Raw genomic sequence first — 25,105 nt, 5'->3', positions numbered from 1 at the left:
TGCACTCCAGCCTGGGCAACACAGCGAGACTCCGTCTCAAAAAAAAAGAAAGAAAGTGATGGTCTGCAGCTGATGCAGAGTTATGTAACATGCCACACCTTCCATTTTATCATTTTTAATACAGAATAAAATCCGTCCACAAGTTTCTATGAGACAACATTCAAGAGTGATGTGGTGTAGGTTGTGTTTCGTGAGGCACTGCCAAGATCACAAGAATGTGACTGTTTTTATGATGATCAATGACTCTGACCTCCACAAAGGATTCCTCTGTGAGTGAGGGATCAGATGGCAGCCTGTGGACAGCTGGCATTCCTCAGCGTATTGGTCAGACGACACTCCCTCCTCCGAGAATGGCAGGGTTCCCTCAGTGGAGGAGGCGAGCTGATTGGGTCAGCTGGGAGCTAAGTGAGGTCACAGGGAGGGGCCCCTACCCTGTATAATTGTATCTTTATAAGGAGTGAAAGAGACACCATCTACGGCTTCGCTCCTGGGGAGCCAGAAGCATGGAATCAGGTCCGCGTGGTGGAGGGTTTGGGGCAGGGGCGGGTAAATATGAGGAAAGGGCCAGACAGTGAATATTTTAGGGTTTGTGGCTGTGCAACTCTGCTGTTGTAGTGCAGAAGCAGCCGTGGGTGATACCTGGGCAAATGGGCCTGGCTGTGTTCCCATGAAAATGCATTTACTATAACAGATGCCAAGAGGATTAGGCCACCAACTTTGGCGTGTGCTCTTCGGGCCTGCCGTCTAACAGAATGAGGGTTCCAGCGGTGTTCGCATCATCAGACGTCTAGTGTTCTGCACATAAAACAAGCTCTTGAGGTCAGGAGACAACATGCAATCTAGCAGGCAGGTAGCTCGTGAAGCGTCTCATCTCCCAGCATAACAAGTGCTTCTCCATCCATATGTACAGAATTCCACTCTCCAGGTGGGAACGTTGTGATGGAATACGCTCTGAGAGATAGAGGAGGCGACTTCTGCCAGGAGTGATCAGGAGGACTTCTTGGAGGAGGCAGCACTTGAGCTGGTCTTGAAAGATGATGAGATTTTAATGGGAAAAGAGATGATCGAGAAGAACCTTCTAGCAGGAGGGAGCTGCCCTAGCAAAGACAGGAAGGCTGGAAAATGCGAGAAGTGGGACAGGAAGATCAACACAGGACCTCTCCCTTCTGAGCCAAACTGACACCTACCTCTTGCCATGACAGGCCGCTCTTCTGGAGATTATAAACTATTTATTTTTAACAGAGAAACTGCCTTAGTTGGAGTTCTGGCTCTGCCACTTACTTAGGTAAGAAAGAACTTCTTGGGCCTCAGGCCCTCACCTGTAAAAGGGGCTGAATAATAGGATTGTGCCTCTCTCCAATGGGCTGTTAGAGGTTGGACTGCATGCCCCCAATACTCTTATGCTGAGGCCTAACCCGGTGTGACTGCACATGGAGACAGGGTGTGTAGGGAGGGGATGAAGCTTAAGTGAGGCCACAGGGGAGGCCCAACCCTGTAGAGTCGTGTCTTTATAAGGAGTGAAAGAGACACCATTGCTTGCTTCTCTCCTGTGGGCAGAGGAAAGGCCAGGTGAGGACACAGGCAGGAGGTGCCCCCGCAGCCTCAGGCAGAGCCCTCACCACGCCAGCCCTGCTGACGCCTTGATCTTGGACTCCCAGGCGTCTGCTGCATAAGCCACCCCGTCCGACGTACTTTCCCATGGCAGCTTGAGCAGAATGAGACTGGGGCTTTGGAAGAAGGAACTTCACATGTGAGGAGCTTGGAGAGTGGGACGTGCCATGTGTGCACATGTGCTGCTGGTGGTTGGTGTTATTGTTATTATCAGGAGTGGCGTATTCCCAGCCTCTGGAAGCTCACCTCGTGGTTTTCTTTCTTCTTCCACTTTTCGTTTTTTAGATCATGTCTGCCCTTAGCCTGACATCCCCGCCATGTAGGGCTCCAGGACTGCTGTGGCCTCAGCCCTTCCGGGCTCCAGGAGGCCCTGATTCATTGCTCTCCCCTCCCCCCTTGGCTGGCCTAGGTGCCTTGTCCTCTTTCTTGGGACGGTGCTCACTGACGGGCCCCATGGGAGGAGGGAGACACGGCCAGCTGCCATGCGGGAACAGCTGCCACAGCATCGCCTCCTCCAGACATTGCTCACCACCCCTGGCTTTCCTGAGCTTCTCACCAGCCCTGGTGGAAGTGAGCAAACATGATTACTTATTCTTGTCTTCCCCATCAGGAGGCCAGGGTGGGGGAAAGGCAGTGTGCCACTGAGTTGTTGGTCCTCTAACTTAGTGCTGGTCGCCCGCATGTGCTCTAGGGCCTCGGGGCACGGTGCTGGGACAGCTCAGCTGGCAGACCTAGGACAGGGCTGGAAGGTGGGGGGCAGGGCTGGGGTCAGAACTTTTCTCCCTTCTTCCCTCCGGACTCAGGGAGGTCCCTTGGGCAAATTCCTTGTCCAGACAGAGATGTGTGGGGCGAGAGACACTCAGTCTCCTTAGGAGCAGTGAGCAGCGGGGGGCCCAAGACAACAGCCCCCTGTGGCCGCCTCCAGCCCCAGGACAGTGGCCTGAGCCCTGGGTCACCATGCTCACTCCACCCAGCGCAGAATTCTCCAGCGCCCAGCCTTGCAGAGGCAACGCGGCTCCGACAGGACCTGTAACCTCTTCCTGCCGCTTCTTTGTCATGCAACCAGCCCTTCCCTCCAAATCTTTCAAAATCCTCTTCCCCAGGGGTCACTGCCCTGATCTTCGGAGCAGGCTGTGGACATGGACTCACTCTGCTGAGCTCTTCCTCCTCTGTGTACCGAGGCCACAGCCCCCACTCCGATCCCCCACGCAGCCTCTGCCTGCGCTTTTGTCCCTTGTCCTTACCTTTATCAAGCTCAAGGGACCCCGTAACCGCACGCCCTCCTCAGGGCCTTTTCATTGGAATTCCCACACTCTCTGCATTTCTGAAGGACTGGTTGAAACCGCAGCGTTCTTCTAAGTGGTGAGCTCCCCGAGTGAATCAAAATCACACTTGATTCCCCCAAAATCCCATTTGTCAGGAGTGCGGCTGCTGCAGAAAGTGTCTCTGGAGCTTGGGAAGCAGGCGCGGGGCCACTCTAAACTCTCCTGTGCTCATCACGCGCCCTTTCTGCATCCTGCGGGCACGTTGGTCGGACCCTGTCGATATCAAACGGTGATCACTGTTAATGAATGGCACTGTTCCCACACAGGACCTCTAATTACTACTGCGTTCTTATGAGGAGTGCCTTGTGCTTTGCAGCATCTAACGTCTTGGTAGTGACCTGCCAGTGCCTGTCCAACCTGTCAGCAGATCACGGTCGCGAACCCTGGGAGAGAGGTGGGCTTGCCATGCCGCCGCCCCTGCTGATTCTCCACCCAGCTGCCACCTCCTCCTGCAGGGCGCCACCTGTCTCTGTCCCTGTCTTTCTGTATTTTTTTCTCTCTCGGTCTGTCTCTGCTTCTCTCTCTCTGTCTCTCTCTATTTTTCTCTCCCTCCATTGGTCTGTCTCTGCCTCTGCTTCTCTGTTTCTCTGTGTCTGTTTCCTTTCTCAGGCCCTGGCATGGCTCATGGCAATTATCTCCACCCCCACCCACCCCTCACAGCTGACAACACGTTTCCCGTGTGAGACTCTGTGTCTCCCGAGAAGCAGACACCAAGACAGGATGAGAGATGCACAGATTTTATTGGGAAAAACACCTGCAGGAGAAAACGTGTGAGCACTGGCGGCGGCTGGGAGCCCAGGCTGCAGTGGGGTCTGAGCCTGCAGGAGTGGGGGTGCGTCCTGGGGGCTGCAGGTGGGGGCATCAGCTGGGAGGTGCTGGGGCCACTCAGGTGGCTCACACCGCTCAGCAGAGCAGGCTGGCAAACGTTCCGAGTGTGAGCCACTGGAGACGTGAGGTGGGCTGTGCTGCCCCCATGGAAACTGGCCAGCCTAGGCGTGGGGGATCTTTACTTCCCAGCGCTGGCCACTGTTCCCCCATGGGCTGGAGCTCCCGCCAAAGCCAGCCCTCAGCAGGCTCCCACACCTCCCAGGACAGGACCTACCTCAGTGTCTCCTGCACCCAGGGCTGGTGGGGAGCCTGTGGGTAGTGTGGGCGATTCCCGCGGCAGCAGCGGGGCCGTTGATGAGGCTGCTGTGGCTGGGGGTGCATGAGGTTCGGTTTCATGGCCTCCACTCTCATTCCGCAAAATGAAGCCCCAGTTCCTCCCCTCGGTGCCCTCCGTGGCGGGGCCCCACCACCTCTGACCTTGTCTCCTGAGCTTCCGCTGTCCCCTGCACAAGGCTGTCCTGGCCGCGCCATGCACCTTGTCACCCCATGCCTAGTGCCAGCCGGCTGTGTCGCTGCCTCGCCTCCCATCTGCAGCTTTCTCAGTCCTCACTGCAGGTGTGAGGGGACACCGTGGCTCCCAGGAGCTGATGCTTAGCACATGGCTCAGTGGAGATGGCCCGTGATGGGAGAAGGGCTCTCTGGGCACCGGGGGCAGGACTGCAGCCAGGCCTAGAACTGGGCGGGACGGCGGCCTGGGAGACACGCGTGTCTCTCTATTTCTGTCTCTGTCTCTTTGTATCTCTCTGTCTCTGTCTCTTTCTTTCTCTGCATTTCTCTCTCCGGGTCTTTCCCTTGTTCTCTCTGTCTCACTCTGATTCTGTCTCTGTCCCTGTCTCTCTGTATTTTTTTCTCTCGGTCTGTCTCTGCTTCTCTCTATCTCTGTCTCTCTCTGTATTTTTCTCTTCCTCCGTTGGTCTGTCTCTGTCTCTGCTTCTCTGTTTCTCTGTGTCTCTGTTTCTCTCGGACTCTCTGTCTCTCTGTCTGACAGGGTCATCAGAGCCTGAACAAGTCCTCCCGCAATGACCTACCAGGTGGTGCCAGGCCTGTAGCAGGTACCCTGGATCGGATCGGCTGCTCTGCTCCACGAGGCTCCCAGCACCATCTCAGCAGGTAGCTGATGTGGAGTCTCTGTCACCTCCAGGGCAGCCAGTGCCCCTCACTGGAAGCCTCTCGATGTCAGAGAATTCCCCGCTGTGTGTTCCTGGCATTGTTGTGGGGACGCACCTCCTCTGTGCTTCTGGATGGCAGGGAGGTCCCACGTGCTCCATAAATTCCCTGGACGAGGCTCGAGTGGATCATAGCGTCGGGTTTGGAGTCCACCTTGTCTTCCGTAGTCACTCACACTTACGCAGTGGCACAGGCTTCTGGCAGGCTATGTGTGTGGATCCTGTATTTCTGAGAATTTATTCCTTCTGAGAGGCTGGAGATGAAGGCCCCAAGGTCTGGGAAGAAGGAAATCCCTGGGAGAGAAATCCATGCACTTAACTGGTGCTTGTGGAAACTCTGACTTCCAAATGCCACTGCTCCTCAGTCCCGTTCCTTCCCCGCTGCATCAGCTGCGGGGCAGCCAGTGCAACATCACACGGCATCGAACCAGGGGTCCGAGCCCAGGGTCTGGTGCCCACCAGCTGTAGGCCTGGGCAAGAGCGCGGTCCCCGCCTGTCTGTGCGCTCTTTCAGGTTCAACCTCTCTTCCTGGGAGCTGCCCTGCTGTGGGAAGCCTGATTGAACCCTGACCCCTCTATGCCCCTCACACAGGTTCAATGGGAAAATGAAGTTAACCCGGTTTATTTGTTTTGTAGCCTATAAATACTGACTGGTCCTTGTGTCTCAGGAATTCTTTTTTTTAAAATGTAGAACACCTTTATTTTTTAAGACCACAGCAAAATTTAGGGTAGGCCTCAGGGGCCTGCAGGGGCCTTCAATTTATGGCTGCAGGACAGCAGAAGGGGCGTGTCTCTCACTGAATTAAGACAGAAGAGAGAGGTTCTTTATAAACCCCAAAGAATTCATCTTCTTAGGAGGAGGCACATGCACAGGGCACAGAATGGGACAGGCACCCCAGAGCAGTAGGATGGGGCATCCCTGCCTCCCAGCCCCTCCCTGGATGGCCTCCTGCTACCGTCTCCCCAGCAGCCCTCCGCCTTCTCAGGTGATCTTTATTCATGCCCATGCTTGCCTCCACACGGGCTTATTCCTGCAAACCCTGCCAGGGTTGTTAAGGAACATCTAAAAGGCGTGAGGCCCTGAGCTTTGATCCGGCTGCTTAATTGCCTTTACTAATCACACCAAGATCAAGAGGATAAAAATAGCCTCCAGGGTCGGGCGGAGAGAGTCACCTTGATGGGGTTTTGGAGAGCAGCGAGGAGACAGTTCTAATTCACTCCTGGTGGTGGCCTGAAATCATCACTTTAATTAAATAAACTAACCTTAGCTACTAGAGCTATGCAAACAACTTGACATGAGGCTTTAGATTATTTACTTAGAAGCAGAAAGAAAATAGAAAGGCGCTTCCTGGACAGATTTCAATTGTTTTCCTAAGTGCTCTGTCCCCAAGCAAAATGAAACGTTTCTCCTTCCTCTTCTCTCTCCCCGCTCTTACTCTCCCTCTCTTTTCTCCTCCTTTCTTCTTTCCTCTGTGTCTATTTCTCTCCCTTCCTCTCTCCCTCCCTTTCTTTCTGTCCCTCTCTGGTTCTGTCTCTCTGTCCCCCCTCCACCAGTGCTTTATCTTAAAACAGAATTTCTAATCGAGAGGTTTGTGTTTCTGAGTATTTGCCTTCTCATTTGGGGATATTCTTCTGGTCACCCCTCATGTTCTTTAAAGCCTGGCTTGAGTCTCCCCAACTGCAGGAAGGCTTCCAGGATGAATACCATGTCTTTCCAATACATTTCTTGTCATTTATCTCAGCCCTTATGCAGTCACCCTTTATAGTTGTAAACCAAAAAGTGGCAGAGACAGGCCTCAATCAACTCAGAGGTTTATTCTGCCAACATTCAGGATGTGCCTGGGGAAAAGGAACAGGAAACCACAGGAACAACCTGAGATCCAATTTTTCCAAAGAGGATTTTGAGGGCTTTAATACTGAAAGGGGCAAAGCAGGCAGGAGGGGAAGGGGAGGGGGTGTGGTCATATGTCTGAGTCCACACATCGCATTGGAAAGGAGCGGGTACAGGAATCATCCATCATGTATTTGTCTTGTGCTCAGTAAATCTTTGCATAAGATAAAGTCAGCATAAGAGCAGCTCCCTGTGGAGACCCCTGGCCTGCTTTCCGCAGCAATTTGCTCTGGAGCAGAAGGAAAGGCAGAGGCTTGCATGCCTCAGTCCCAGCTTAGCTTTTCCCTTTGGCAGAATGAACTGGGTCTTGAGATTTTATTTTCCTTTCACTTAAATGATTTTAGGGGCTTCATCTGTGTATTTCTTCTTTCCAAATAGGTCGGCGCTGCCTCAGGTCTGAAATGATGTCTTCTCTTTCCTGTTTTCTGAGCAGCTCATTCTGCTGCCCGTCAAATAGGCCCTTTCCCCAGGACCCTTGGGGTCCAGCTGAGTGGAGCAGCCTCCCACACTGGAAGCCTTGAGTTTTCCCCACCTGGGCCTTTCTCTCTGTCCCTGACATCCGGTTGGTCACCAGATCCTGGCAGTTGAAAGTCATTCTCAAGTCCAGCCCCACCACTGCACCTCGGTCCATGCTCCTGGACACCAGTCTCTCACCGAGCGCTATGCGTGGCTTGCGTCTGCGGCTGAGAAATCCTTTCAAACGCACGCCTTCCCTATTATATCCAGCATAGGATCTGACCCGGCAGGACCTCAGTAAAGACTTGTGGCTGCTTTAAGAGTGGGCACCTGCCGTCACATTTTCCTCAGCATTTTCCCTATGCTGCTGGCGCATTGGGTAGCTCTACTCAACCCATGACGGATTGCAGATCTTTTGGCCGCTGCATTCACAAATTTGTCCCGAGCCGCTCCATGGAAGGCATCCCAGAAGCCTATCAATCTTCCCATGAGTGTTCAAGATTCCCAAATCCCCAAAAGGCCCTAATACCATCTCTGTGTGAGCAGCTGCCCATGTGTTGGGGAGTGCCCTGCCTGAGGCAGAGGGCGCACTGCATCTGTTTGGAGGTGGGTGAGCCTCACGTGTTCTGCACAGGGCATGAGGTAGGCATTGGAGAGCAGCCCTGGCCCCCCCACCCAGGGGACAGTAGGTGGGGTTCTAAATTATGAGTCATTAATCAGCTCTTCATATGTCTGAATTATTCATAAAGTAAGTGCTTGTGGTTTGGATGCTAGTCTATGAATATATAGGCAAATTATTTATTATGGCATTTACATGGATTTTGCAAAAAAGTTTTCCAGAAACCCTTTAGGTTCAGTGGTTGAATTTAACAAATATTTCCTGTGCACCTACTCTATGACAGAAATTGTGATTGGCGTTAAAGACATAAAGATGAATAGGATAATAAGCACCTGCCTTCAGTGTGCTCTGGGTTAGCAGGGAGAACACACAATCCAGCTGGTCCACAGAGGCTGACTTATTAACAACATTTATCACAGCATGTGGGAAATATGAGCTAACTGTATTTCAGATAGTAACATGACCACGCCAAAACCAAACCAAATCAAAACAAGGCAAGAAACCAAACCAACAAACCAACCCCACCACCACAACAGAAACTAACCCAAGTAACATTGAACACGGAACCTTGACCTATAACCCTTGTCCTGCAGACAAAATACCTGCAAACAAATATTGAACTTGACTTGTGGGTTTGCTTTCACTGTGGTGCAAGGTAGCAATTCTGTAATGATTTTCTGTCTTGTAGGGTTGAGCAAATACAAGATTCCACCAGTGCTGTTGGAAGCCAGCGTTCTTGTTTTTGGAAAGGGGACATTTTCTTTCTTTCTCTTATTTTTTTCCCTCCCTCCCTCCCTCCCTCCCTCCCTCCCTCCCTTCCTTCCTTTCCGTCAAAGCACTTACAATCTTCTCACATACTATACAATTTACTTATTTATTGTGTTCCCCATTTGGTGTCTGTCTTCCCCCCGGGGGCAGGGCTCTTTGCTGCTTCATCCAATATGTGTTCACGATCTGAGTGCCTGCAATAGTAGGCATGTGCTTATCTAGTGAATGATGGGCAATGGTGGTGGAGATGCAGATTAGGACCAGGTCATGGGGAGTACTGGATTACGAAAGTGAACACATTTGGATTTCAGCCTGTTGGAAAATGAGATGATGCTGGAAGTGGTGAAGGGGCTGCAACATGATGAGAGCTGTGGGCTGGGTCTCAGTGCACTGGACCTGAGGCAGAGGTGTGGTTGGAGGCTTGGAAATCCAGTGGATTTGTTACAAGTGACAGGAACCTGACTCAAACCAGCCTGAGCAATGAAGACAGTGACCTTTCCAAGGGCACCTTTGGTTTGGGTGTGGCTGTGCCAGGGACCTGCTCACCTTGGGGGAAAGGAGAGGGAGAGCATTAGGACAAATACCTAAAGTATGCCGGGCTTAAAACCTAGGTGACGGGTTGACAGGTGCAGCAAACCACCATGGCACATGTATAGCTATGTAACAAACCTGCACGTTCTGCACATGTATCCCAGAACTTAAAGCAAAAAAAAAAAGCCAGTGAGCTCAGGGGGAACCAGGCCAAGGTCACCCTGTCACCTCTGCTGGCTGAGGCACAGCACATGACCAGCAATTCCAGGGGTGGGAAGACAGCTCCATGTCTTGCTGGGGGAGCTGCGCAGCCTACAGGGTGTGGGGGAAGGCAGGGCCTGTGAGGTCATTCTTGCAGCTCCCCAGAGTGGGGGCACAGGGGGACTTGCTGCTCCATACTGCTGGCCTCATCTCCTTGAGGCATCTCCCGCCCAGCTTCCTGAACTGGTCTGGTGGCTCTTTCCATTGTTAAGTCTGGCTGTACTGACACAGATGTGGGGTGACTCCCCAAGGTCCACCGGGAAAGCCTGCCCACTCCCGGGATGGCTCTCTTCCCTTCTGATACGGTTTGGATCTGTGTCCCCACCCAAATCTCAGGCTCAACTGACATCCCCAGTGCTGGAGCTGGGGCCTAGTGGGAGGTGATTGGATCACGGGGCAGTTTCTAATGGTTTAGCACCCTCCCCTTGCTACTGTCTCGTGAAAGATTTCTCACAAGATCTGGTTGTTTAAAATGAGGCCCTTCCTCATTACACAGGAGCATGCCCAAGTCCAGGAGGCCAAAGCTCTGGGTTGAGTCTGCCCAGCTTCCGAGTGAGTGAATTCCTGCAGAGAGAGGCGCTGCTGAGAAGCTGGCCCTGCAGGAGGCACAGAAGCCAGTGTGGAGGAGGGGCCAGGCTGGGGCAGGGCTGGGGGCCCTGGCTCCGTCATGTCATGTTGGCGACCACGTGGACTCGAGGGCTAAGCCCAGGTCTCCTTGTCTCTAAGAAGGGGTTCAGAAGCTTGACCTTGGCGGGAGTGAGCAGTGAGTGAGCGGGCTTGCACTGGGCCCAACTCATGACTAGTGAGAGGGGTTGGTGTGCCCTTGAGCTCACATGTGCCTCCTGCACAGGACACCCCCTCCTAGAGCCCAGCCAGCCCGGCAGGAGGGCAGGGCATGTTCAGAGAGACAGTGGCTGAGTGAATGGAGGGCTGGCCCAAGTCACAGCCGGGGGTGCTCACTGAGGCCTGGGGGACTGGGCTTGGAGCGGAGCACCTGGCCGCTGTCCCTTCCTGGGGTTTGCAAAGCCCACCGTCCCACACTGCATCATGCTGTGCTCTGCACCACATGTGTCTGCACTCAGCTGCGGCCACCACTCAGCCCTCTCCTGGCATCGCCTGGGCAGTACCCAGCAGGGCCCAGGCTCGGGGTGGATCTGGATTGCCCAAGGGCACACTGGGGAAAGGCTGCCTTCCTCCCTACGGTGCCAAAGCCCAGAAGATGAGTGAGCTCAGCTGTGATTACACAAGACAGGCCGTGGAGCCAGTAGAATTTTCAATCAAAAAATTAACATCAATGTATGCTTACCATGGAAAATACAGGAAAGAAGAAAAGAAAATTAAAATTACTTTTAGTCTTACCAGAGATAACCAATATTAATACATTGGTGTATTTCCTTCTAATCATTTCTTAGAAGCCTGTGTGTGCACGTGTGTGTTAGAAAATTGGGGATATACTGTAGATGCTTCTGGGGTTTGCATTTTAAACTTTTTTATATTTCAAGTATTATTCCATCATTTTAAATGGCTGCATAATATTTCATCACACATCGGGGTCTGTCAGAACTGATTTAACTTTCATCTATGGGCTTTGAGATCTTTCACTGTTTTTCGCATTACTAAATGTAGGAGTGTTTGGGGGAATGGAATACCTAGCTCAGAGTGGGAGGCAATGAGAAAACATTCTCCGTGTGCTTTTAACAAAATTCATATCAGCTTAAGGAAGAGTTTTAAATACGGTGGAAAGCAAGAGGCAGACATTCGTTAGTAAGATGGTTTCCTAACACTATTTTGAGGGTTTCTGAGACCCTTTGGAGAGGAGCGAACGGAGGGCAGTTGGTGCAGGCTCAGGAATGTTCTCCGGAGGGGCCTGGAGTCCTCACGCGAAGGTCGCCTGAACCTTCTCCGGGGCAGCCCCGCCCCGGTGCACACACATTCTGGGCTTCAGAGGATTAGGACACCTGGCGTCGCTTCCTGAAATTTTCCCATTGAGAGACCTGTCTTTGGTCTTGGGGTTCTATGGGGGCTCCCCAAATCCGGGATTTTTATGTAAATTGTAGCTCTCGTGTTCATTTTTCTGTGTATGCGGCATAATGACAGTCGTTAGATTCTGAAATCAGCCCCTGATCCCCGCACTGAAGAACCCCCATTCAGGCCCTCTTTTACCGTGGAGGCAGGTCACTGGGACGGTGCGTCCAAGCGCTCACATCATGGGGGTAAGTGGGGTGGGGCTGGAGAAGCTTCGGGAAGCATTAAGCTGCTCCTTCCTGAAGCAGTGGAGTTGGGGAGCCATTCCCAAGAGGGGCTCATGGGTGAGCCAAGGAATGCAGGAGGGGGTGCCGTGGGGAGGGACTGTGAGCCAGGGCGTCCAGTTCGGGACTAGGGCAGAGCCAGCAGGCAGAGACCCCAGCGACTCCGAGGACAACCACTGCACTACATCCAGGGACAGATGAGGACTGTGGGGTCCTCACAGGGTATGGGAATTGCAGGGGTGCTGTGCCATGCTGTTCCACACCTCTGTGGCTTCACAAGGGCCTCCTCATTTCCAGAATGTTCCTCCTGTGCCTTCATGGGTAGGTGGGTACCCTGGTGCAGGGTCTCCACTGCAACCTTTGTAGGGACTGACCAAGCTCCTCCTCCATTGGCTGAGAGACGGGGACACAGGGCTGTGCCCAGCTCCTTCCCTCAGCCTGGGGTGCCCCGAGGCTGTCTGGCTCCAGAGTTGCCTGCGGGGTGGCCCCAGGCCTGGCAGGCCCAGGGCAGCTTTACTCCTCCCTCCCTGCACACCTGTTTCCTACCCTTCCCTTTAAGGGCTGACTTGACTTCCATGGACCAACATTTATTAAGAAGCTACTGTGTGTGTTGAGGTGCGTGGTTCCCTGACCTCCATGGATTAGGCGAGTGGAGGAACAGGCATTCAGACAAAATCCCCGTGAGACGCGGTCACTGCTACAGACACCCCAGTGTTTGGTGTGGTGGGGTCACCTTTTTATTATGTTTTACGCATCAGGCACTGGACTGAGGATGCTCCAGGAATGGCATAGCTGGAGAAAGTTAGATGAGGTCAAATTTTGAAAATTGCAGCTCATTTTTATACTCTGACAGCAGCAGAAACCCCCTTTCTCTGGCTAGTTGGCTGATGAATAGAAAAGTTGTACAGGTTGGAACGATTTAACAAAAATACATCTATCTTATTTAAATTTCAAACATAAAAAGTACGTTCCAGTTTTATTTTTAGTGTAGGGTTATTTTGGAGTTGAGTTCACTACTCACTAGGGCTTCCGGCCCCTTCTTGTGTAAATTTCACTCCTGATTATGATCTGGGACTTCTGGCAGAGTCTCTAAGTGGAATGACTGTGCCAGGGGTGTCCAAATGACTATGACATCCTTGGGGTTGACAGGCACCAACTGATGAGGGCACTAGGGAGCTTTCTGAGTGCTAGAATGCTCTATTTTGAACTGTATGGCCACAGGATCAGAATTCATCAAGTTGTACAATAAAGACTAGTCTTAGGTCTTTTATGGCTCATAAAAAAATTTTAAAACAAGGTAGATTGAGAGCTAAAGACAATCTTAGGTGGAATCCTGCCTGACTTTTATGATTGTTTCCATCTTTTACCGGTGTCTCGCCCACACATAATACTGTATCTGGATGTACATATTTTATTTATTTTTTTAGAGACAGGGTCTTGCTCTGTTGCCCAGGGTGGAGTGCAGTGGCACACTTGCGGCTCACTGCAGCCTGAACTCCTGGGCTCGAGTGATCCTCTCACCTCAGCTTCCAGAGCAGCTGGGACCATAGGCAGGTGCTGCCACAACCAGTTGAAAAATTTTTGTTTTTTTGTAGAGACAGGGTCTTGCTATGTTGCCTAGGCTGGTTTCAAACTCCTAGCCTCAAGCCACCCTCCCACCTCAGCCTCCCAAAGCACTGGGGTTACAAGTGTGAATCACTGCTCCTGGCCCCAGTATATGTATTTAGGCATGCTTTTTATTGAATCTTTCCAAAGTAGTTCATCTAAGTTTTCATAGAAACAGTCACTCATTCTTTTTGCACTGTTTCTTCAGTTGGTGTATTGTTTAATTAGATTCCTCGATTACAATAAGTTTTAGGAGCAAACATGACTAACTCTTGGGAAACACGTGGTACATGCTGCTCCCAGCCCCTGGTGCTCAGAATCCCCTGGGTATGGGTCAGCCAGCTCTAGGGGGAGCAAGAATGTCTCTCCCCAAGCCCTGCTGGTCAGGAGCATCTCAACCCCAAGCAGAGAACCATTTGGGGAGATCTGTTGACTGGTAAATAGTCAGCCCCTCACTCTCACTTGCATAAATCTGGATCTTTACTGTGTGTGTGTTTTAATTTTGCAAAACAGCTTTTATGGAAGGGACCAGCATGTCACCTCCTCACCGTTTACATGGCTCTCTGACGACCTCCCATCAGAGTGTAGATCAGACATAGAAGCCGCCAGCTCTTATCCTGGCTTCCCCATTAAACTGTGGTGTGGCCTCAGCTGAGTCACTTCACCTTGCCTCAGTTTATTCATCTCTTAAATGGGAATATGAGCATTACACTCCCACAAATGACTGTGGTGAGTATTGATAATAAAACAGGCCTCACCCAGGTGGAGCCTGGGCCCGAGGGCTGCCCACTCTAGGCTCCTCAGCATCAGGAGGTCATAGGCGCCTCCAATGGACCCCTGGAGAGCGTGAGGGTGCTATTGAAAACAGGCTCCTCTTGTCATTGCACTGCTCCCACGGGGCCTTCACCAGGAATGAGCTTCAAGGTCAACCAAAGAGGAGAAAGAGTAGAGGGAACGAGGAGGAACATTGAGGACTGTGAGGCAGATCCAGGGACCAATGAGGCACCAAATGTGTCCTCCCCACTGACTGCCTTGGGTGGGGTTGTCCAGTTTCTGAAGGATTCTCTGCAAGGCCTGGCCCCAGAGAGAGGCTTTCTGAATACACTCAAAGATGCTTTCCCTGGAAAACAGTACTGCAGGCAGAGACGCAGCTATCATACGCGGTATTGTCAGGAGCTGGATTTTGTCTCCACCAATTCGGGTGTTGCAGCCCTAACCCCCAGGACTTCAGAATGTAACTGTATTTGAAGATAAGGTCTTTGCAGAGATGATCAAGTTAAAATCCTCATGTCTGGTGGGAAGGAGGACCTGGGGAAGTGAATGGTGACATCTGGATGAGGAAGTTTGTTCTGGGCAGATGAGGGGGCCCTAGGCCCTGAGAAGACCCCATCCAGGAGCTGGGAGCCCGCTTAGGAGGCTCATATGAGAGAGGGGATCCAAGGTCCCGGCTTTACAGGGGCCACCTGGGGCAGAAATAGCCCAAGCAACATCATTCCTCACCTGTCAATGCTGGGGGATAAATGAATATTTAAGAGAACATTTGTAGTAATCTGCAAAGGACAGCTGTGAGGTGGGTAGCAGCTGCCAGGGCAAGTAGGGGATTTGGAGGCTTCTGAATCAGATTTGATGATGGAGCTCACAGGATTGTTCCTAGGAGGCAGTTTTTTTTCTGATAATTATAAATATTCTCATCCGTGGTATATTCTTTCTTATCTCCCTCAGATGTTTGAGGATAACACATAAAAATGCATGATTTCAAACCACTGCTGCATTTTTTTTTTTTTTTTGAGACGATGTCCTGCTCTGTTGCCCAGGCTGGAGTGCAGTGGCACAATCTCAGCTCATTGCAATCTTCGCCTCCCAGGTTTAAGTGATTCTCCTGCCTCAGCCTCCCGAGTAGCTGGGATTACAGGTGCTCACCACCATGCCCAGCTAATTTTTCTATTTTTAGTAGAGACGGGGTTTCGCCATGTTGGCCAGGCTGGTCTCGAACTCCTGACCTCAGGTGATCTGCCTGCCTTGGCCTCCCAACACTGCTACTTTTAAAATCTTTTCTATTTTCAAGCAGCAGCAGCTGCTGGCAGGTTTTTCTCCAAATGACCTTTATTTTGTCTCTAACAAAGTGGATGGCTTTCTGGGAAAATTCCTGATGTGGGTGCGGGGGAACAAGTCGGGCAGGTCCCTTCTTCCTGCAGGGTCCTTGTTTCTCCCGGCAGTTTGTACTCCTTTGCCTGGGAACCAGGCAGTGGCCCCCCCTGGATACCAGAGCTGAGCAAGCCCCCCGATCCACTTTTCTTGGAAGCCCTGGGGCTTACCGCCTGAACTTGATTTTGTCAGTATTACGCTCGCAAAGCTGTTTTATTGACTGACAACGTGGAATGCAATAAATGTTCGAGACATCTGCACCCAGCAATCGTTTTCTCTGTAGGCAGGTTGCCAGGAAGGCCACGACCCGCTCAAGCTCCTCTCGTGACGAGGACGCCACCTGAAACAGTCGGGCTGCAGTCGCCGCCGTCCTCCGGCTCCCACTCTGCTGGGGTCTCCCTGCTGACCCGGCTTCCCCAGCGCCTCCGGTTCTTCCCAGCCCGATCTCTCTCCACTGTCATCCTCAGTGCCAGCCTGTCTCCCACGCCAGCTCGTAAACTCCAGGGTGGCGACTTTGTCTCACTTTCTTTTGTGTTCTGAGCACCTGACCTGGGCAGCCCTGAAGGCAGCTGTGTGAGGGTGAGTCTGCTCACGTGCCTACCCTATGATGAGGTGTCCTGCTCACCTGTGGGGTCATGCAGGGCCGCTGCTCCCCTAATGCGATCCCATAAACAGTGCAGAGGTTGTCTCGGGGCTCTCGCAGCTGCTACGTGGCGCCTCCGCTGAGCGTCACCCAGAGGGCAGCAGCGAAGGAGGGGCCGAGCTCTCCACCTCCTGCTCCCTCTCCTCTCTAACTTTTCCTGCTGCCGTTCTCTTCCTGGGGCTGGGGCTGAAACCCTGGCATCATTATCTCTGCAAACTCATCTCTGTAAATGCCCAGGCAGGCGTTCTCCCTCCTCCCACCCACGGACCCCCGCTTAGTCCAGCTCTTACCTGGGTTCTTGCAGAAACTTCCTAACAGGTGTGTCCAGGAAGCACTTCAGATGTTTTCTCTGCTGCTTCTGGTTATCTTTTAAATCAGAGATGGGGGAGTCAGGCCCCATTTAAACGTCTCCTGGAGCCGAGTGGGAGGACAGCTCTTGGGCGTTGCCTGGGCTGGTGGGGCCAGCTCCCTCCTGACTGCCCCGCTGTCTGCCAAGAGCATTTTTCCCATTTTTCCAGAGTCCAGGCGGTGGCCATGACCCCCGAGCACGCCAGGCGTTATCCCAGCTGAGCCTCCAGAGTCTCTGGGCTTTCTTCATAGGTGCTGGGGCAGTCACTCTCAGCCACGACAGGGACACACGAGGCCCACCTCCCAGGAGAAAGCGCCTCTTTCCTCGCCTTTCTGGCCCCAGAGAAATACAACTTTCAAGAAAGAGTTTGTTCATGACAAAGTGAGACAGAGTTAAGAGAGAAACTCAGGATTCAAGGTGAAGATGTCAGATGCGCTTGGATGTGGGAGGAAAGATCCACCCTGGCCCTCAGTGGAGAGTTCTGACAGTGGTGGGTGCCACTGGGGCTAGGTCCTTTGTGCTGTGGCAGCACCATCTCCCCCAACCTGCTGCAACTGGGGCTCAGCTGCCTTTTCCAGAGATCGTGGGGGGTCGCCTCAACTGCGGGGTCACCTGTCCCAACCACTCTCAGCCAATGACTGACAGACGGGCTCTGGGCTGGGGCCTCTGGGCCTCCATGAGGGACCTACTCTACAATTGACACATCAGGGCAGACATTGTAGGATGTGAATCACTGCAGGGGGAGGATGCCTGGCAGTGAGACTGTCTGTCCCAGGAGACAGGAATCCTCACATTTCCCAGACAAGGCCAAATTGGGTGTGTGGGATTTTCTACAAAGTTTTAAAGAAAAAAAATTTTTATTCTGAAATTATCCTAATTGTGGTATTAAAATGTCATTTATTTATTTATTTTGAGATGGAGTCTCACTCTGTCACCCAGGCTGGAGTGCAGTGGCACCATCTCATCTCACTGCAACCTCCGCCTCCCCAGGTTCAAGCAATTCTCATGCCTCAGCCTCCCAGGTAGCTGGGACTACAGGTGTACAGGTGCGTGTCATCAGGCCTGGCTAATTTTTGTATTTTTAGTAGAGATGGCATTTCGCCATGTTGCTTAGGCTGGTCTCAAACTCCTGACCTCAAGTGATCCGCCTGCCTCAGCCTCCCAAAGTGCTAGGATTAAAGGTGTGAGCCACTGCACCCAGCCAAAATGTTTTTTCTTTAATCCAGTAATGGTGATTAAAAATCCTTGCTTAACAAAAGAAAAAGTTGGTCACATACGTCAGTCCTCAAATGTGTTCTGAAACATTCATGGGCGTACCTCCTAGAGGCTGTGAGCCACGGCTCTGCAGGCATCTGGCTCAGTCCCCCTCTCCGGCTCCCCTGGCCCCCACTTTGGCAGCTCTTCCTGGGCTGTGATTTTGTTTCTGCAGAGTGGCCACCATTCTGCAGAAACGGTCATACCCTCTGGGACCCTCTGCCTCACAGAGGCCCCCACGTTCCTGGGCCCTCCCTAAGGGGAGCCTTGTTTCTCCGAGGAGATCTTGGGCTCACCGGTTATGTTTCAGGGACCCACAGGACAGGATTCCTGGCTCTAGTGTTTAGAAACACACTTGAGAGAGCCAGGTTGAAAGCTCTCCCTGGGTGCGTGACCACACTTAGGTGGTGAAGGTGGGGACGCCTGCATGGGCGCTGGGGGGCTCATGCACAGCTGGCCACCCTCATCCCTGGTTTGTCAGCGCAGACCCCTGGGAAGCCTCCTCGCCTGCTGTGGTCTCTCTTCTAAGCATCTTCAGTGGTGCAGTGGCTCAGGCTCTCACTGTGCTCAAGATGCAGGCTGAACGTCACACTCAGGCTAAGGCCAAGCCCCCCACCTCCCCACACCACCCACCCCTGTCTAGTGAGGACGTGCTACTCTAGCTAAGTCCCTACCATCCTCCTCGTCCACCATGGCTGGCAGAATCACATCTCAGAACTAAAATGTAGAAGTTGATTTTCAGCATAAAGAGCTTGTTTCCACACATCTCAAGATTAGGAAGTGACTTGTACTTGGAGAGATAAATGTTGACTTTTCATGGAGAAAATGGACAAGGTCCTCTCCTACTGGCCTGGCCCTAGGCTAGTTGATCTCTTCGGTGAGATCTGGGATGTGGGGGACTGGGACGTGGGTCCTGCTCCCCTCTGCTCCAGGCACACAGCTGGCCAGAGGCTGGTGCTGCAGGAGCTGGCGTGGGTGCGGCCCCCATGAGCCCTCACTGCCCTGGCCTGTCCCAGCCCTGCATGGTGGAGGCTGCCCTGCCCTGCAGGAACATGTGGCTTCCTCTTGGCTGCTCCAGCTTGCTTGGTGCTGTGGTTTGAATGTGTCCCCCAGTTTCATAGGCTGGAAACTTACTCCCCATAGTCACATGTTGATTGGAGGTGGGGCCTTTGGGAGGTAACTAGGATTAGATGAGGACATCAGGATGGGACCCGATGGGGGATGTGGCCTTATGAGAAAAGGAAGGGAGACCTGAGCTGGTATACGTGCTCTCTCACCATGGGACACCTTCCGTCATGGGATGATGCTGCAGGAGGGCTCTCACCGGATACGGCCACTCGACTTTGGACTTCCCAACCTCCAGAACTGCGCAAAATAAATTTTTCTTTATAAACGGCCCAGTCTGTGGTGTTCTGTTATAGAAACACAAAACAGACTAAGACACTTAGTTCTCCTGATGTCCCCTACAGCCTGTCTTCCTGCAGTTCCTGAGTGCTTGGCCTCCTTGGCCTTTGCAGGTCATGGTGGGCTCCTTGTAGGGCCCAGCCTTTCCTGGTTTCCCCGTCCAGCATCCACCTGTTGCCTGGAGCCAACCCCATCTGCAGTTGGATAGTGGTGGTGCCCCCACTTCATGCTGGCTCCCAAAAGAGACTTACTTGCGTCTTAAAGCAAAACCAGTATTAAAATTCTGCCCTACTCTTGTTGTATCTTAAGGGCTTACGTGAAACACTTTTTTTTGTTTTTGGAATCGCATTGAATGCAAAATGGGCCCAGTTGGAGGGCGCTAGCCAGGGCGGGAACTTGTGGGTACCAGGTTAATTGGGGTTCTGGTTGTGGAGGGAGAAAAAAGGACCTGACTTTCATCCCAACCACTTACCTGTGCAGGTGCCACCTGCCTGTCTGCTCAGCCAACCGACCCAGAGCATGAACTGGTTATTTGCACAATGGAAGTGAAAGAGGGAAAAGGTGCTAGAGGCAGAAATTGATTCATTGGCAAGGAGACCTTCAGCTTTGACAATTTTCTCAAGGAGGCAAAGGATGAAAGTGCTTAGCCCACAAGAAAAATCATCTGATTAAGCTGGGGTTTAAAATAAAGCAAGAACTTCACAGTATCTCTCACATCAAGGGACTAGTTCTCACACCTGTTTTTGGGAGAGCTGGTGAAAGGAGGAAGGAGATGGTACCTTGAGGAAAAGCCACCTTTGGGAGATTCTGAGCAGTTGCTAAGTGTCCCCTGGCCCTGGAGCCGGCACCTACCTTCTGCCCACTCGGACAGTGCAGTGAGTCAGAGACGGCACAGGTGGAATGAGACTAACTGTGGCCCCACCCTGGCCGGCAGCCCTGTGTTGCAGAGCATAGCACAGCCAGCAGGTGCCTGGGAGCACAGTGGGGAGGAGGGGAGGATGCCCACCTGTAGCTGTGACTGCTTTTCCTGGTGGTGGGGGAGGGAGAGTGTTCATATGGACCCAGGCCTGGGGCACTGGCCGTGTATTTATCCACAGAGGGACCAGGAGATGCAGGAGCCCTCCTAGTCTCCCCCTGCACCGCCCTCACCACCCACCCCCATGAGGAAGGGGCCGTCCCAGAAGATGCTAAGAGGCTCAGCCCCTCCTCCATGGAGTTTGGGAAGGTGACAGTGTTAAGGTAAACTCCAAGAGTCTCTGGGGTTGAACAGAAACCACCAGAAGATGTTGGGCAGCTTATGGGGGCTGTGTGGGTTCATGGGCTCCAGGATGCTCGGCCTCCCTTTCACTGTGGCGGTACTGGAGGCGCTGCTCACATGGCCGGCTCAGGCAGCTTGGGTAGACACCGCCAAGTGCAGGGGCAGGAACCTGCTAATAAGATGGGGGAGAGATGATGGTGATGGGGGTGGGGCGTCTCAGCAGGACTCCAGCTCCTCTGAGGCTCCTACCCCTCCAGCTCCCCCACCTCCCAGAAGGAATCCGGTTCCCAAACTGGGAGATGGTCCTGATTACCACGGAGCAATTAAGCAAGCTGCGGAGGAGAAGCCGTAGTGAAGACCCTCCCCACGCATGCTGTGTTTGCTCATAGGAGCAGGGGCATGAAAGGTGTGTGCAGGGTGCGGGGGAGGGGTGGGAATGGAGCAGGGTAGGGGGAAGGGAGCGGGGGAAAGAGGTTCCTGAGAAAGGAAGGCACCAGCGAAAATGAGAAGGTCCACGTGGCATAAACTTAGGGAAGAGAGGACAATACCCTCTCTTGTCATTATAAATCTGTAAAAATGAACATGCACACGGGCAGGAACAGGAGGCACAGGGCCGACGCCAACACGGATGGGGTTGGTGATGACATTGAGGGACCTCTGTCTTAGAGTCTGTTGTTCTTCAATACAGGTTTTGTAACAACAAAAAAGAAAGCTGGCTCCAAGTGTGGAAAGAAAGCAGAGGAAGGAACGGGTGGGGACCCTGTTGGCAGCTCTCCCTGAGGACGGGCCAGGATGGGGGGTCCTGGGGTCTGGGATTCTGACCCCAATCTTTAGAGCAGTCCCTAAGCCCCTTGCTCGCAGGGAGTGAAGCACCAGCAGGCATGGCTGCCAGGTCAGCAGACAGCCGACTCGGCTTCCTCGATGGGCAGCTTGCCCCGATGTCACGGCTGGCATTCACCGTGGCCCATGAAGGCGGTGGAGAGTGCCCCACAGGAGCAATCTGCCGCCAAAGGGGACGTGACGCCTGCCAGGAATGCCCAGCACACACCCAGTCTCGGGGCACCTGCCCTCACAGCTGGGGGGCGTCACCTATGTGCCCCGAATGTAGTAGATCATGTGGTGCCTGCACCAAGGCCGTGGCATGAAATTCAATAAAATTTCCCCAAATTCATTGTTCAGTCATGACTCATTTCCAAGGAAAGGAGTGAAATCCACCCTTCTTCCTTTGTTCTTTCTTCCTCCTTTGAAAGTGTCCCCATGGAGAAGCCCCCACTCCTACAGTCTTGAGAAAGAGCCTCTCACACACTCACACCCATTCCCACACACAGACACACTCATACACACACACATATTCCCACACACACTCACATTCCCCACTCACACCCATTCCCACACAGACACACTCATACACACACACCCATTCCCACACACACATTCCCCCCACACACCCATTCCCCACACACACTCACATTCCCACACACACTCACACCCATTCCCACACACACATTCCCACACACACCCATTCCCCCACACACACCCATTCCCACATACATTCCCACACACTCACACCCATTCCCACACACACATTCCCACACACATTCCCCCACACACACTCACACCCATCCCCACACACACATTCCCACACACATTCCCCCACACACACTCACACCCATCCCCACACAATTCCCACACACACTCACACCCATTCCCACACACACACCCATTCCCACACACCCATTCCCACACACACCCATTCCCACACACACTCACATTCCCCCACACACCCATTCCTACACACACACACACACCCATTCCCCCCCACACATACACACTCATACCTATTCCCCCACACACAGACACACACACACCCATTCCCCCCACACACCCATTCCCTCCCCCCACACACAGACACACTCAGGCCCATTCCCACACACACACACACCCATTCCCCCACAGACACACACACACTCTCACACCCATTCCCACACACACAGACACACACCCATTCCCCACACACAGACACACTCATACACACACACCCATTCCCACACACTCACATTCCCCCCACACACTCACACCCATTCCCACACACAGAGTCATACACACACACTCACACCCATTCCCCACAGACACACTCATTCCCCACACACAGACACACTCATACCCACACTCACACCCATTCCCACTCACACACTCACATGCCCACACTCACATTCCCCCCTCACACCCATTCCCACACACTCATGTTCCCACACACACACTCACACCCATTCCCACTCACACACTCACATGCCCACACTCACATTCCCCCCACACCCATTCCCACACACTCACGTTCCCACACACTCACACCCATTCCCACATACCCATTCCCACACACACTCACATTCCCACACACACATTCCCACACACACTCATACAGTCTCACACCCATTCCCACACACACACTCACATTCCCACACACTCACACCCATTCCCACACACACACACTCACACACTGTAACACACACACCCATTCCCACACACACACCCATTCCCACACAAGACACACACACCGATTTCCACACACACACGTACGCACACCCATTCCCACACACACCCATTCCCCCACACATTCCCACACACATGCACTCCCACACACACCCATTCCCACACACACTCATACACACTCACACCCATTCCCACACACAGACACACACACGCACGCACACACGCGTACACACACACATTCACACACAGTCACACACGTTAAGCCATTTTAACTTTAGCGCCTCAGCTCTCAGTCCCCAAATCACCTGCACACCCAGAGGCAGGGGCTACTCACAACGGAGCACCTTGGACAGAGGCAGGTAAACCCACTAAGCTGGATTCCTGGAGAAGCAGGAAAAAGCGGAGCCGTTTCTCCTTGAACATCCTAGATGCTCAGATAAAAGAGATGGAATCTCATTGGATGGATTTGAGGAAACCCCCAAAGCTGCTTCTTGAAAACATCAACCAGCGACCTGCCGTGTGCTGAGATTCTACCTGGCTCTTTGTTTTCAGGAAGTCTTCCTGAGAGAGCACACTGTTGGCGTTTTGCTGGGTAGATATCCCTTGGGGGGGTGTCCTACCTACTGAAGGGTGAATAGCAACCTTGCTCAACCATCACCCCAACAAAATCCAGGAGCACCCTCAGTCACTGTGACCCCCAAATGGCGTTTGTTGTATCCCCCAAATCCATATGTTGAAGTCTTAACCCCCAGGACCTCAGAATGTGGCTGTATTTGGAAACAGGGTCTTTCAAGAGGTAACTAAACTAAGATGAGGGCTTTGGAGTGGGCCCTAATCTAATCTGACCGGTGTCTTTAGGATGCAGTTTGGGTATTTGTCCCTGCCCAGATCTCATGTGGAAATGTGATCCTCAGTGTTGGAGGTGGGGATTGGAGGGAGGTGTTTGGATCATGGGGGTGGATCCCTCATGAATGGCTGGGCTAGCCTCTTGGTGATAAGTGAGCTCGAGCCCTGGGTTCACAGGAGTCCTGGTCTTTTAAAAGTGTGTGACACATCCCCCCTCCTCTTTCTCACTCCTGCTTCCCCCTGTGATGAGCTGGCTTCCCCTTCTTCTTCCGCCATGACTGGACGTTTCCTGAGGCCACCCCAGAGACAGATGACGTCACGCTTCCCGTACAGCCTGCAGATCCCTGAGCCAATTAAAGCGCTTTTCTTCATAAATTACCCAGCCTCAGGGACTTCTTTATAGCCAGGTGAGAACGGACTAAGAAGAAAAAGTTGGGAAGCAGACGCTGACAGAGGGATGACCACGTGAGGACACAGGGAGAGGATGGCGTCTGCAGGCCACGGAGGGGCCTGAGGAGGAACCAGCCCTGCCCACGCCGTGATCTCAGATTTCCGGACCTCAGGACTGCGGGGAAGGGAGTTTCTGTTGTTCAAGCTGCTCGGTCCACGGTACTTTGTTATAGAAGCCACAGCAGAGTTATATGCGTGTGTATGCGTGCACACACACACTCACACACACACACACAGACACTAACACACACGGACACACACTTTCTCACACACAGAAACACACAATGACACACACAGACACACTGACACACAGGCACAAACACACACACTCTGTCACACTGACACACACACACAAACACTGACACATTCACATACGGACACACTCTCGACCACTCACACACACTGACACACACAGACACACTGACACGCGGGCACACACAGACACACTCACGACACACAGACTCACGTACACTGACACACTCTCACGGACACACACTCTCGCACTCTCACACAGACACACACACTGATACAGACACACACGCTGACACACACAGAGACACACACACTGACACATCCACACAGAGGCCCCACATTTCTCAGCCTTTTGAGGTAGTACATTTAAATAGCATTTAAAATACCTATTAATTCATTAAAACACTCATAATCCTGTTATACGTCAGCGTAAATACCTTATGACAAATAGCCGACTGGAAACCACTGACTGAAAACCACAGAGTCAGCTCACGGAAGATGGCTGTTAAAATGCAAATGCACTTTGGGGAGGACATGGTGGCGTGAGTGTCAGGAAGGAGTGACTTGGCTTGTGAGTCAGCGTCTAGAAGGCGTGCGTCTGGCCTCTGAAGTCGGATGGGAGGGCCTGGGCTGCCTCCTGACTGC

General features: G+C 52.7%; 5 long non-coding RNA genes across 5 annotated transcripts, besides 9 other annotated features; 3 read left to right on the top strand and 2 right to left on the bottom strand.

Annotated features, from left to right (window-relative positions):
- Positions 1,169 to 2,082: an enhancer, noted in NCBI's record as "H3K4me1 hESC enhancer chr7:155020353-155021266 (GRCh37/hg19 assembly coordinates)". NCBI's record gives its function as "activates a minimal SCP1, AML or CMV promoter by ChIP-STARR-seq in naive and primed H9 embryonic stem cells {active_cell/tissue: H9 hESC(naive and primed)}" and the evidence as "EXISTENCE:reporter gene assay evidence [ECO:0000049][PMID:30033119]".
- Positions 2,532 to 2,826: a silencer, noted in NCBI's record as "tiled region #9102; HepG2 Repressive non-DNase unmatched - State 20:ReprD, and K562 Repressive non-DNase unmatched - State 20:ReprD". NCBI's record gives its function as "represses a minimal TATA promoter and a strong SV40 promoter by Sharpr-MPRA in HepG2 and K562 cells {active_cell/tissue: HepG2 | K562}" and the evidence as "EXISTENCE:reporter gene assay evidence [ECO:0000049][PMID:27701403]".
- Positions 3,489 to 8,681, top strand: LOC124901785 (uncharacterized). Its single transcript, XR_007060605.1, has 3 exons — positions 3,489 to 3,704; positions 4,813 to 4,934; positions 7,259 to 8,681. It is a non-coding gene; the product is annotated as an uncharacterized LOC124901785 (long non-coding RNA).
- Positions 3,658 to 4,600, bottom strand: LOC124901787 (uncharacterized). Its single transcript, XR_007060607.1, has 2 exons — positions 4,242 to 4,600; positions 3,658 to 4,133 (listed from the first exon to the last, which is right to left on the bottom strand). It is a non-coding gene; the product is annotated as an uncharacterized LOC124901787 (long non-coding RNA).
- Positions 3,911 to 4,824: an enhancer, noted in NCBI's record as "H3K27ac-H3K4me1 hESC enhancer chr7:155017611-155018524 (GRCh37/hg19 assembly coordinates)". NCBI's record gives its function as "activates a minimal SCP1, AML or CMV promoter by ChIP-STARR-seq in naive H9 embryonic stem cells {active_cell/tissue: H9 hESC(naive)}" and the evidence as "EXISTENCE:reporter gene assay evidence [ECO:0000049][PMID:30033119]".
- Positions 4,983 to 5,482: an enhancer, noted in NCBI's record as "H3K4me1 hESC enhancer chr7:155016953-155017452 (GRCh37/hg19 assembly coordinates)". NCBI's record gives its function as "activates a minimal SCP1, AML or CMV promoter by ChIP-STARR-seq in naive H9 embryonic stem cells {active_cell/tissue: H9 hESC(naive)}" and the evidence as "EXISTENCE:reporter gene assay evidence [ECO:0000049][PMID:30033119]".
- Positions 5,483 to 5,984: an enhancer, noted in NCBI's record as "H3K4me1 hESC enhancer chr7:155016451-155016952 (GRCh37/hg19 assembly coordinates)". NCBI's record gives its function as "activates a minimal SCP1, AML or CMV promoter by ChIP-STARR-seq in naive H9 embryonic stem cells {active_cell/tissue: H9 hESC(naive)}" and the evidence as "EXISTENCE:reporter gene assay evidence [ECO:0000049][PMID:30033119]".
- Positions 8,682 to 13,382: 4,701 nt separating the features above from the next.
- On the top strand, positions 13,383 to 17,414 carry LOC124901784 (uncharacterized). The gene is made up of 2 exons (XR_007060604.1): positions 13,383 to 16,093; positions 16,676 to 17,414. It is a non-coding gene; the product is annotated as an uncharacterized LOC124901784 (long non-coding RNA).
- On the bottom strand, positions 13,564 to 25,021 carry LOC124901783 (uncharacterized). The gene is made up of 2 exons (XR_007060603.1): positions 24,898 to 25,021; positions 13,564 to 19,125 (listed from the first exon to the last, which is right to left on the bottom strand). It is a non-coding gene; the product is annotated as an uncharacterized LOC124901783 (long non-coding RNA).
- Positions 16,392 to 16,686: a silencer, noted in NCBI's record as "tiled region #4112; K562 Repressive DNase matched - State 4:PromP". NCBI's record gives its function as "represses a minimal TATA promoter and a strong SV40 promoter by Sharpr-MPRA in K562 cells {active_cell/tissue: K562}" and the evidence as "EXISTENCE:reporter gene assay evidence [ECO:0000049][PMID:27701403]".
- LOC124901786 (uncharacterized) lies at positions 20,680 to 21,593 on the top strand. Its single transcript, XR_007060606.1, has 2 exons — positions 20,680 to 20,828; positions 21,111 to 21,593. It is a non-coding gene; the product is annotated as an uncharacterized LOC124901786 (long non-coding RNA).
- Positions 21,401 to 21,910: an enhancer, noted in NCBI's record as "H3K27ac-H3K4me1 hESC enhancer chr7:155000525-155001034 (GRCh37/hg19 assembly coordinates)". NCBI's record gives its function as "activates a minimal SCP1, AML or CMV promoter by ChIP-STARR-seq in naive H9 embryonic stem cells {active_cell/tissue: H9 hESC(naive)}" and the evidence as "EXISTENCE:reporter gene assay evidence [ECO:0000049][PMID:30033119]".
- Positions 21,472 to 21,766: a silencer, noted in NCBI's record as "tiled region #14434; HepG2 Repressive non-DNase unmatched - State 10:DNaseD". NCBI's record gives its function as "represses a minimal TATA promoter and a strong SV40 promoter by Sharpr-MPRA in HepG2 cells {active_cell/tissue: HepG2}" and the evidence as "EXISTENCE:reporter gene assay evidence [ECO:0000049][PMID:27701403]".
- Positions 24,840 to 25,089: an enhancer, noted in NCBI's record as "active region_26894". NCBI's record gives its function as "activates an Ori minimal core promoter by ATAC-STARR-seq in GM12878 lymphoblastoid cells {active_cell/tissue: GM12878}" and the evidence as "EXISTENCE:reporter gene assay evidence [ECO:0000049][PMID:35858748]".

The sequence above is a fragment of the Homo sapiens genome, chromosome 7, assembly GCF_000001405.40.
Source record: "Homo sapiens chromosome 7, GRCh38.p14 Primary Assembly".
Classification (NCBI taxonomy): domain Eukaryota; kingdom Metazoa; phylum Chordata; class Mammalia; order Primates; family Hominidae; genus Homo; species Homo sapiens.
The sequence above is the reverse complement of the archived record's forward strand: the minus strand, read 5'-3'. Positions and strand labels throughout refer to the sequence as shown.